The 12,580-nt window shown below is 39.8% G+C and overlaps 2 long non-coding RNA genes across 4 annotated transcripts in view; both read right to left on the bottom strand.

Annotated features, from left to right (window-relative positions):
• The window catches only part of LOC105372666 (uncharacterized), a 483,513-nt gene that overhangs the window by 26,955 nt on the left and 443,978 nt on the right, over positions 1-12,580 (bottom strand). The gene's annotated exons all lie outside the window — the stretch shown is intronic.
• LOC105376985 (uncharacterized) lies at positions 5,409-7,104 on the bottom strand. The gene is made up of 3 exons (XR_001754672.1): positions 6,991-7,104; positions 6,070-6,167; positions 5,409-5,728 (listed from the first exon to the last, which is right to left on the bottom strand). It is a non-coding gene; the product is annotated as an uncharacterized LOC105376985 (long non-coding RNA).

Raw genomic sequence — 12,580 nt, 5'->3', positions numbered from 1 at the left:
ATGCAAAAAAATAATTTTAAAGGCATAGAATATAGACCCAAAATTTCCACTATTTCTCAAGAACGAGTTCTAGAAGGAAAGAAGAAAATTATATAACAAATAATCATAATAAAAGAACATTTTCTAGAGCTGAAGAATAAAAAGTATCTTTAAATTGAATGGGGCCTTTGAACATTCAGCAACAGAAAAACTGATGGCAATAAAAGACCCATCCCTATAAACATTATGATAAAATGTTGGAACAAAAACTAAAGATAAAAACCTGAAAATATAAAAGCTAAAGTCATTTCCCTTTAAAGGCTAAAGTTCTGATTGTCATTAGCTATCATTGTGGGCTAGACAACATTGTAAGATAGAAGATAATGGATCTGATCAAACAGGCGCTTGACTATTTGCTAACACGTAAGAAATCAGAAACCTTACCATCCACAGAGTCTCTTTGAGTTCCTTGAAGATATGCCACAGGAAAATTACCAAAGAATCTATGGTAGAAGAAAATGACATACAAGAAAGGGTAGAAAACAAGAAACCAGTAAAACATAAGGTCAAATTGTGCAATCAAAAAAAAAATAGGTTGAATACATAGAAACAGAGAGTAGAACAGTGTTTACGGGAGCAGGGAGGAGAAGGAAATGAGACCTGATGAGTCAAAGTGTACAAACTTGCAAGTAGGTGGGAGCAATAAGTCTAGATATCTAATGTACAGCATGAGGACTATAGTTAATAATATTGTATACTAAAAATTGTCTAAGAGAGTAGATTTTAGGTGCTCTGACCACAAAAACGAGGCAAATAAGGAAGGGGATGGATACGTTAATCTACTTACCCATAGTAATCATTTCACTGTGTAATGTATATCAAAACATCATGTTGTACTCCTCAAATATATACAACAAAAATAAATAAGTGAAAATGTATAAAAACTTTACAAAGGAAAAAAAAGAAATAGAACTTTAAAAGATGGCAGAATTAATACAACCTCTTCATTCACACTTTGATAGGCTGGATAGAAGCATAGCCAAGCCAAATGCTTCTAAAGTGTGAATAGTTTTAATGTGATTCTGGAATTGAAATTTTGAAAGGTCACTGTATCATAGATAAGGAAGCGAGACTGGAGAAGAGTGAAACATACTAAGGTTTCTTTCCTGCTCAGAGGATACTGACTGACTCAGGATACACTGGATAGATACTTTTCTGTGTATGTGATTTAAAGTGTACATATAAGCGTCAAAACATAGACATAAAATATAAAACTGTGAAACTACTATATGAAACTACTATATAAACACAAAAATAAGTAAATCCAATCCACTAATAACAGTCAAGTTAAAAAATATATACCTAGTAAAGGAAAGATATCAATGCAATGGTATATAGATGTTCAATTAATAAATATAAATGAGTTAAATTTAGTTATAAAATGGTAGATAATTATTAAATGATAAACATTTTAATAGTACAAAATAATATTCAGTATGAGTAAGAAACAGGGCAATATGGGCAAACATAGGACCAAAAGAAGCATTTTTAAGATGGCAGAGATTTTGTTCAAGTTAAAATGCTGATGAGAGGAAATTGATAAAGGGGAATGAGATGAGGAGGAGATGATTTATACATTGATATCTCTGAAAGGTAGGATAGACTGGATCTAGAGCCAGATGGAGGGATTCACCTCAAAGAAAAAAAAAGAAGCTTCCAGGTTTTTCAGATTTTTCTATACGTCATTTACAAGCTGTCATTGAGAGTCAATAACCAAGGTTTCTCTATTATCACCATGATGGGAGGATTCTTTATAAAAACACATTCTCTCATTAAAATATTGTGAATATTTATTATTATGGAGTTAAAAAACAAAGATTATAAAGAAGATTTTTAAAACTTCCTAAAACACCATCTTCCAACTTCTTTCCACTTTTATTTTAGTTAAGAAATAAACAAGTTTTCATTGTTCTTTTTTATGACCAGTGTTGCCAAATACTACCTGGTTTTTTTTTTTTTTGCATTCTTTATGTATGATCTTTCCATTGAACAACTAGAAATACAGCTTTTGTGATGGAAAAGGAGCCATAATTTAATTTTAATTAATCTTAATTATGCTTGATTATTAAAAAGCATTTGTATGAAAAAGTACATTTCCAGTTTAGCCCACATGGTCTTCCCCAGTTTCTACAGACAATTCCCTGCTAACATGGTTCTCTTTCCAAGGAGCCCGACTACTTCTGGAATGGAGATGAGGGTGGGCTCAAAGAGGTACAAGGCTAGAGGCAAGTCCTCACACCCTGGAAGTCTCATAAATGAACAGCAATGGTAGATAGTGATTGAGAATATGGACCCTGGAGCCAAACCTTCTGGTTTTAAATCCAAGCTCTGCCATTTATGAGATCTGTGGTCTTAAATGACATAATTTTCTTCTCTATGCCTCAGTATTCTCATCTGCAAGATGAGGTGGGTGTGTAAAAATACCCTGTACATCATGGGGGTGTCTAGAGAATTTAGTGTATTGATGAATATTAAATGCTTGGTTACAAGAGTGTCTAACACAGACAGTAAGCATTATTTAAACATTAGCTTGCATCATAAAATTATTTCCTAACTGTTGGGTTTCCCTGACAGTACCCGGTCTTAATGAGTCTTTCTCATGTGTGAAATTTCATGTTTATACTAGCAAAGTTCTGAGTTTGTACTCTATGCTAAGTCCTGTACTAAGTGCTTTTATGAGCAGGGTCTTTATTTGATCATTCATGTAAGAACTATTAATATTTATTCAGTCCCTTCTTTGTATAAAGAAACATTATGTCCAGAAATATTACAGTGAAGAAAATTAGGGATTATCTCTAGTCCACTTACAATAGTCAAATAATTCCTCATTTCATTCTCACAACGGTCCCATCAGGAAGATACCATTTTACAAATGAAGAATTTGAGTATCACAAGGGCCCAAGGACCCAGGCCAGTTAATAGCTGAGTCTGGCTCCAGAGCTCACCCTCTTCATCATTTTGTTATACTGTTGGTGGTGACGGGCTCTCTGGGCTGGTTGCGGATGGCAGAGAATCACATTTGTCTCATGCCTGGTTGGTAGAGGGCCTTTCAGCTGCCTCCCTAAATGCCCTGTCCGCAGGATCACCTGGACCCTTATTGCCTATGGTATTGACCTGACTCTTCTTAGGAAACGGCCTGATTAACCAGAAGCCCATGTCAATGGCCAAATCCTCAGCAAGGGTTTGATCATATTCTCTCCTCAATCCTTCAGCATGGGAGAACCCCAACAACTGGACTATTTAGGAAATGCATCTCATGCATTTTTCTTTTGATTCCTCATGCCTTTTGAGAACCTCTTTCAACTGTTAGTCTACTTCCTGGTTGGGCTAACCTTCACCTGCTATATCCTGTTGTGGTCACTTCTGGTACCCAGATACCTGTCCCAGTACTCCAGAAAACAGGTTGAAGCTGGACACTCTCTGGAAAACCCAGCAACAAGAAAAGACCAGAAGCCTTAGGGCTGATACCAACAAAACACTTCCCTCTGTCATTTTCATTGAGGACACGGTATACTCAGTCTGCAGGTGGCATGCCCCCAAATTCTGCAGGATTTGAAGTTTTGAATAATCCCAGGCCTTGGTTGAATCCTGCCTCTACCATGTTCCCGCTCTGTGACCCTGGACCAGTTCCTTAGAGTTTCTTACCCTGCTTTTGTGTGTGTCGTTTATAAACTTGAGATCGGTGCAACAGTTCCCAACCCATATGGTTATCATGAACAACGAGATGTACTAAGTTAAACATTAAAAACATTAATACAGTGCTTAACAAAGAATATGTCCAATAAACATTATCATAATAAGAATATCTTTATAATTATTATTTATTTTGGCCATTTTGATCTGGGATCATGCAAAGTATGGTCTCAATGGTACTTTCATTCCTGGAAAAGCTATCCCTCCTTACACACACACAGAAAGTCTTTTTAACTCATAGTATAGCTAAAATGTAGTCACTTTTAAACAAAACAGAAAAATAAATATATTGAATAAAACATGACTTCTCATTTATTCTGAATGTTGATGTTTGAAGGAAAACATATAATTGAGGATGAAGAGAGAGAGGAAGAGAGAGATGAGATAGCAATTTTATAGAGCCTTGCTACTCAGTATGGTCCACAGATCAGCCTCATTAACATCACCAGGAGCTCCTAAGAAAAGCAGAAGTCCAGGTTCACCCTAGTCCTACTGAATCAGAATCTGCATCTCAAATGATCCCAGCTAATGCCTACCCACTTTAAGGTGTACATTTAGCAGCACTATCCAGGGCTGAAAGCTGGTGGTGCTGGCTCTTCATGAAGTCAATTTTTACTTTGGAAAGTCTAGGTGACCTTTTTCTAGATGTATGTTTCATTAGCACAACTTTTATACTTACCAGTAATAACTAAAGCATTTTTGAAAGTTCAAAAATTAAAATGGAGACAGTATTGGTGAGGAGAAAGAGAGGGACAGAGACAGAGACAAATAGATCAAGACAGATTTTCCTAAATGACTGCAGCACAAGTCTCAGAGGCTACGGTGCCTGGGCTCTGGTTGCCAAGCAGACTAGCTGTAGCACTGAGATTGGACAACATTGGTTTCAGTTCAGATCCTGGGTTTGTTCTAAATCCTACTGCGGCCATGAAAAGATGATCCAAAGAAGAAGTTTCCTTATAAACCAGTGGTGCTCCAAGCTTGACTCAAGTGGATACTTGCACTGGATTTTGAAGAAAAGAAGGACCAGGAAAGAAGGAAGGAACACAGAATTTGAAGTCAGGGTCTTGAGTTCAATTCTACTAACACCATCGACTCACTGGTGGGAAGTGTAGCACAGAACCAAGAGCCTAAGGGTCAGTTCAGGCCAGGATTCAATACTCAGTCCTCCAGGGGCCAGTGTCAGAACATGGGTATGTTAGATAACCACCCTGCTGTGGTCTGAATGTTTGTGACTCTCAACATTCATCTGTTGAAATGCTAACCTCCAGGGTGATGGTATTAGAAGGTGGGGTCTTTCAGGAGGTGATTTGGTCATGAGGGCAGAACCCTCAAAAATGGGATTCATGTCCTTATTAACAGGCCCAAGAGAGCTCATTTTCCCCTTCTGCCATGTGAGGACAAAGAAAGAAGGTGCCATCTGTGAACCAGATCCAGAGTCTGTTGATGGCTTGATCGTGGACTTTCCAGCCTCTAGAACTGTGAGAAACAAATTTCTATTGTTTATAAGCTACCTGGTCTATGGTATTTTGTTATAGCAGAAGGAAAAAGTATTTTGTTACTTTTCCTAAGTAAGATTCTTTACTGTCTGTTATAGCAAGCTTCAACTATACAGAGTCCCATATCGTTGTTCTCACTGAAAGTAGGTAAAAGAAGCATCATAAGTACAGAAAGTGCAAAGGTATCTTTGTGAATAAGGAGTTACAAACTAGACAACTTGAACTGGGTCCGGTTCAAAGGCCTATTTTGTTGCTCTAAACGTGAAAAAAAATTAAATATCAGAGTGTCCATAATAATCCAGATTTCTGGCTTCTTTTAAGGCAATTTGTTAATACTGAAACCACATTTAGGCAGGATAACAAGCAAATGGCACTGATCTTGGCTTATCCCTGTAGAGTTCAGTGAGACAGTACCCTCCAGTCCCTGTTTTCTTACATATGCCCGATTCACCCAGTTACATTGGCTGATGAATCTTGAGAAGTATTTCAATTTGCAACCCCTACCATAAATGAAAGACCTCTGTTAACCAATTTGGGGTGAGCTGGAGTGAGGTTCCTCCCACCACTGACCCAGTCTGGAACCCAGACTCAAGGGACCAACGTCCTCAGTTCATAATGAGCATGTTATATAATCACAATGCAGAAGAGTTATCATTTCATTTAAAAGTAGTGACTGCTGGAATTACATTTCCCATGTAAAACAACACAATTCCCAGTTGATCAGCAAATAAATAAGAGAAAACAGCTTTGTAATTATTTCGACAGTGGTCGGGCTCAAAGACACCCATCAAATCCCATTTCATGAGAGAGAGGGCTAAGCAGAATTGAGCAAACATTTTACCTGAGTCTAGTCCAACACATCCTGCTCCAAAGATGACTCCTATAATGAAAATCTGTCGTTCGCAAATGACTCATCATCTGAAAACTGTGCTGAAGATGCTGGAAATGCGGGTGATGCATGCAAAAATGAAATTAATCAATATGAAAATGAAGATCAGCAGTCTATCACAGCTGAGCTGTTTGATAATAATGAACCGGGGAAACAGACAGGGCTCAAGAAACTCATGAAAGTGTAGGAAATGTCAACAGGAATTATGAATTAGTAACTATTGCTAAAAATAAAGAAACAAGAGTAAGTGGACAAAAGAACCATATTGTGTTGGGAAATAGCCCCATGCATTTCTACCTCCCTTGTCTAAGCCACCAATGTTGCTCCTATGTATTATGACACTGGACTCCTCACTTGCCTGACCCACATCATGTTATCTTCACAGCAGCCAAAATAATCCTGTTGGAATGCAACTCACGTCAAGGCACCCTTCTACTAAGAATAGTCCACTGGCCTCTATGTCACTTGCCATTAAAGTCAACATCGCTGCAATGACCGATGAGACCTGCATCACCGGGATCCCACTTCCTCCCATTGCCCCTTCACTTACTCCAGGCGCACCAACCAGAAACACAATGTTCCCAAGACACCAGCCATGGATCCTTCTTGGAGCACTAACAGGTGCTCTTCCAAGAACTTGGAAGTTGCCTCTCTTAGTCAACCTCAGAACTTGTTCCCTCACTTCTTTACAATCTTCCCTTAAAAGACCTGTCTCAGCCCAGCCCTCCCTAGCCAACCTATCTAAAGTTACAACCCTCTTATCCTAGCCAGAGAAATTCCCTACTCGCCACCCTCCTTCATTTTGTTCTTTAACATATTATTATCTCAAATACACATATTTTAGCCAAACATCTGGTTTATTGTCTGCCTCACCTGTTAGACTACAAGCTCCAGGAGATCTGAAAGTTTTGCTTATTTTGTTCTCTGTTGCATCTGCAGTACACAGATATGTACCTGGAATGCAGTAGATGCTTAATAAATATTTGTCAAATACATAACTATCATTCAGAATGTACAGGAAAAGAATGATGATAACAACGTGTAAAAGAGATTTGTTAAATTTGCCAGAAATACGTCCAGGTAACAGCCCCCATCCCCTCCCGAGGATTTGTAAAGGTGGTGAGACAACACCAATCTTCTCCCAAGTGAACAGATAAAATGAAGGTTCTGGGACCACTAGAGGTGAACACTCTGCCTGCATTGGTGGTATTCTGGCCCTTTTTTCTCCTCTGGGGTAGTTATATGGTGAATCCCAGCCTGAAATCACCAGTCAGTCTCTTCCTCTCCCACTTCTTTATCAAGAATCAAAATGGACTGATTTGCAATTCAACAAACATTTATTTACTGAATTGAATTTGCAAGTACATTAAGGCTTCAATGTGACATAAAGGGAAAATTGTTAAGTTAGTCTTACAATGAGTTTTACTTCCACTTATTTATGAAGATTAATGATAAATATTTGGCATCAATCTGATTGCTTTTTATTTGCACTTGTCTTCTATAGGAACCATTGATGGTAATTCGGCAATATTTGATGCCTATCTGCAAAACTACAGCAAAGGGTATGAATTAGGAAATGATGCATTTGCAAGATGGCCATTCTCAAAATTTATTATCAGCATCTGAGTGGGTCCTCCTCCTCTATCTAGAAAACTGATCCTCTTATAAGGTACTTCACTTCTTCAAGATGATAGACCAATGGACCACAGAGGAGAGGCCACGTTCAGTAATATCCATACACCTAAGCTGGTATATATTTTACATGGAGTCTTGCTCTATTGCCCAGACTGGAGTGCAGTGGCGTGATCTCCGCTCACTGCAACCTCTGCCTCCTGGGTTCAAGCGATTCTCCTTCCTCAGCCTCCTGAGTAGCTGAAATTACAGGCACACGCCACCACACCCAGCTAAGTTTTGTATTTTTAGTAGAGACTGGGTTTCACCATGTTGGCCAGGCTGGTCTCAAACTCCTGATCTCAAGTGATCCACCTGCCTCGGCCTTTCAAAGTGCTAGGATTACAGGAGTGAGTCACCACACCCAGCCAGTAAGTATATTTTTCATTATCCTTTCTCCTTCCTTCAACTTAGAGGAGATATCTTAAAGGTCCAAGAAGCCCCAATGACAAATAATCATGTTTGTGTCTGAGTGCATTCTGTTTGTTTCCACAATATTCTAGAGAAGTGTTTCTCAACCTCAGCACTGTTGACTATTGGAGATGAAAATTTCTTTGTTGTGAGAGGCTGTCCTGGACATTGCAGGATGGTTAGCAGCATCTTCGGCCTCTACCCACTAGATGCCAGCAGTACCCTCCTCCCAATCAAAACATGTCTCCAGACATTGCCAAATGTTTTCTGGAGGGCAAAATTGTCCTCAGTTGAGACTACTGTTGTAGAATGAGTCTTTCCATAAATTGAATTATGTTTTCAGCACCCAGTTGAAAATAGTACATAATTAGGCCCTATAAATGTATCACCATGGTATGTTTCATAGTCATCCCCTCCTCTCTTCATGTATTATCTCACCATACTTCAGGGTCTTGAGAGTGTCCTAATCAGGGAGCAATTTGGTTGTTCAAAAAAAAAAAGTAGAAATACACTTAATTTAACCAAGTAAGGAATTATATATCCTAAGTGTGCACAAGAACTTCTCAGACCAGAGAAGACAGAGCGAAGACTTATAGGACTTATAAAGTAGACAAGTAGTCAACTCTTTCTTCTCTCTCCCTCCTCCTTTCTTTCACTCCTCTCTCATCATTTGTCCTTCACATAATAGCAAGAGTGAACCATTTAAAATATAAATCTGGGCTAGGCACTGTGGCTCATGCCTGCAATCCCAGCACATTGGGAGGCCGAGGAGAGCAGATCACTTGAGGCCAGGAGTTCGAGACCAGCCTGGTCATCATGGTGAAATCCCATCTCTACTAAAAAATACAAAAATTAGCTGGGCGTGGTGGCATGCACCTGTAATCTCAGCTACTCAGGAGGCTGAGGCAGAAGAATCGCTTGAACCTGGGAGGCGGAGGATGCAGCGAGCCAAGATTGCCCCACTGCACTCCAGCTGGGTGCACTCCAGCACTGCACTCCAGTCCCCTTGAGACTCTGTCACAAGAAAAACAAACAAACAAACAAAAATCACATCTATATAAATCTGGTCATGTTATTCCATGGTTTTCCATCATGCTTTAAATAAAATCACCATGATGACAGTGACCTGATCTGGCCACTGCTTATGTCTCAGACCTTATAACTCTCTCCCTCCCTCTCACTTCTATAGCCACATAAGCTTTCTTGCCCCACTATATATGCTCACATCTCATGGATCTTGCACCTGCATCCTCTGCCTGCAACGTCTTTTCCCCAGATAGTCCTGTGGCTTACTCTCTCATTTTATTCAAATTCCTACTCAAGTAGTACCTTCTAATAGATATCTTCTGCAGCTATTCTATCTAAAGTAGCAAGGTCCCCTGCCCCCAATTTCTACCTATTCTCTATCTCCTTATTCTCTTACCCTTTCTTCATTGCCTTTGACTCTGTAACATAATTTCAGATGGCGTTATTTATTTATTTTCTTCCTCTCACCTCAATTAAGCACATTCTGGGAAGTTAGGCCATGCTACTCTCATAATTTCAAAGCCTAAAACAGACGATGGCATTTTAGTAGGTTTTCAGTCAATATCTGTCAAGTGAATGAATACATATCTCATTCTTTATCCTTTGAAGAGGGGCTCATATGTTCAACACACTTACAGGTAACCCATCATAGATAGTCCAAAACAGCAGCCTTAAACCTTGAGTCTATGAAGTGAAGTTTGAGCTTCACTCCAGTTAATTAATCCAGTCTTGGCATCATTCTAAATTTGGAGGAAGAAACTGTCTTTTATAGTCAGTCTTGGCTGGGTGTCCATTCCTTGTTCAAGCAGCTGACATCAGAGATCAGGCTTCAAGGCTAATGCTCTTAAGCCATAAATAGGGCAGATTCGCTAAGAAAAAGGAATACAATGGGCTAAGATGCTCGAATCTTAGGTATTGGGTATTTTAACCTCATCCTCCCCTCCACTGTCAATATTCTAAGACTTTCCTGACTGCTAATTTTCAGGGAGCCAGGAAATAAAATCCCTTCACAGAGTGAAAACGCAAGAGTTACATTGTCAAGAAAAAATGGCTAAGGTAACACATAGGCCAGAAATCATGGCAAGTAGATGCTAACCCAAGCCTATAATTTGCTCATAACTAAGAGTTTTAATCTTGAGATCAAAGTAAAATGCCATGATCAAAGTCAAAGGAATGCGACTGAGGAGAAGAATGTAAAGTAATCTCAAAGACCACGAAGGCAAGAAGAAAGTATGCCCCAATTAGAAATCAGATGCAGTGCAGGTTGCAGTGTGGTTGGCTATACACATGGGAATGGCCACTGGGGGAGAGGAGGGAACATTGACACTGAAAGATTTAAGACAGGCAGGAAGAAATAAGCATGTGGGCTTCTATGGCTGGAATATGTCCCTCCACCAGGCACAGTGGCTCATGCCTGTAATCCCAGCACTTTGGGAGGCCAAGGTGGGCGGATCACTTGAGATCAGGAGTCCGGGACCAGCCTGGCCAACATGGTGAAACCCCGTCTCTACTAAAAAAGTACAAAAACTAGCTAGCATGGTGGCGTGTGCCTGTCGTCCCAGCTACTCAGGAGGCTGAGGCACAAGAATTGCTTGAACCCCGGAGGCAGAGGTTGCAGTGAGCTGAGATCACGTCACTGCACTCCATCCTGGGTGACAGAGGAAAACTCCATCTAAAAAATAAAAATAAAAAGAATATGTCCCTTAAAGTCCCTGTCTTGGAAATTTAATTCCTAATGTGAAAGTTTTGAGAGGTGGGGAGGTTTTAAGAGCGGATTAGGTCATGAGGGCTCTTCCTTCATGAAGGGATTAATGTTACTTTCATAGGAGTGGGTTTAGAATCACAAGAGTGAGCTCGTTATAAAAGGAAGTTTGACTCCCTTGTGCTCCCTCAAATGCTCTCTCTCGCCCTTGTGGATACTTTCCACCATGTTATGACGCTGCAAGAAGGCTCTCCTCATCAGATGCCAGCACCATGCTGTTGCACTTCAAAACCTCAACGACCATGAGCCACATCAATTTCTGTTCATTATAAATTATCTGGCTTGTGGTATTCTGTTATAGTAGCACAAAACAGACTAAGACATGGATTGAGCATGAGGAAATAGGTAAGAAATTGAATTCTTACCTATTATTTGATAAGAAAGTCTTTCACAAGAGGGTAGACAGAGCAGTACCCCTTAGAAGCAGATCAACTAGGATTGAGCTCTGATTGCTGGAAAGAATGTCTACATACTGCAATTATAGGCCTTTCTGGTTTGAGAAGATGCGTGCTCTGTCCCGAACAAAAGGCTGAGCTCAGCAGCAGGCAGTGATTGTAGTTGGGCGCTAGGCCCAGGAGATTTCTCATGGTCCTAATAACCAGCTTCCATCATGAGCCAATCCATCATGTACACTATTTCTATGTTAATGTTGTTCAAATGACATTAACAGCATGTCACTTCTTTGTTCAGAAGCCATCAGTGACTCATTGATGCCTAGTGGATGAAGTACAAATGTCTCAATCCTGCACTTACAACTTTCCATGATTTACACTGAAGAATTCATTGTACAAGAACCAAAGAATGCAGGACTGGGCATTTGTGTCCTCCAAAAAGAGATATGCTGAATTTCTAACCCCCAAAACCTTAGAATGTGACCCTATTTGGAAATAGGGTCCTCACAAATTCAACTAAGTTAAGATGAGGTTATTAGAATGGGTTCTAATCCAATACTACTGGTGTCCTCATACAAAGGGGGAAATTTGGACACAGCACAGAGATAAGATTATATGAAGACACACAGAGAGAAGATGGCTATGTGACAGTGGAGGCAAAGAGGGGAGTGATGCATCTACCAAGCCAAGGAATACCAAGAGTTGCTTGCCTTGGCATCAGAAGCTAGAAGACTCAAGGAAGGATTCTCTCCTAGAGCTGTCAGAGAGAACATGATGCTGCTGACACTTTTGACTTCGTACTTCTAGCTTCCAGAACTATGATAGAATTCATTGTTGTTGTTTTAAGCCATCTGGTTTATAATATTTTGTTAAAGCAGCCCTAGAAAACTAACATATTGAAAAAGGGGCATACCAGGATCTTCTATTTAATGTCACATGGGAAAAGTGACCAATATCTCAGTTTGCCTGGGTTTTCTCAGGGATTTTCAGTGATAAAACTGGGAAAGTTCCAAGTACACTGCGACAAGATGGTCACCTGGTGTGGCAGCCTCCTCCCTTAGTAGGCAGAGTTCCAGGGAGGAAGTAAAGCAGCTTTCACAAAGTTCCTCTTTCGAGGGTAAAGTTAGGGAAAACTGTTAGATAGGATATGGCAGCCTTAACCAATGCACAGGGACAAGGAAAGGTCAAGAGACTCTAAATA

The sequence above is a fragment of the Homo sapiens genome, chromosome 20, assembly GCF_000001405.40.
Source record: "Homo sapiens chromosome 20, GRCh38.p14 Primary Assembly".
Lineage (NCBI taxonomy): Eukaryota > Metazoa > Chordata > Mammalia > Primates > Hominidae > Homo > Homo sapiens.
Note: the sequence above shows the minus strand (reverse complement) of the source record. Positions and strands in the feature narration are given on the sequence as shown.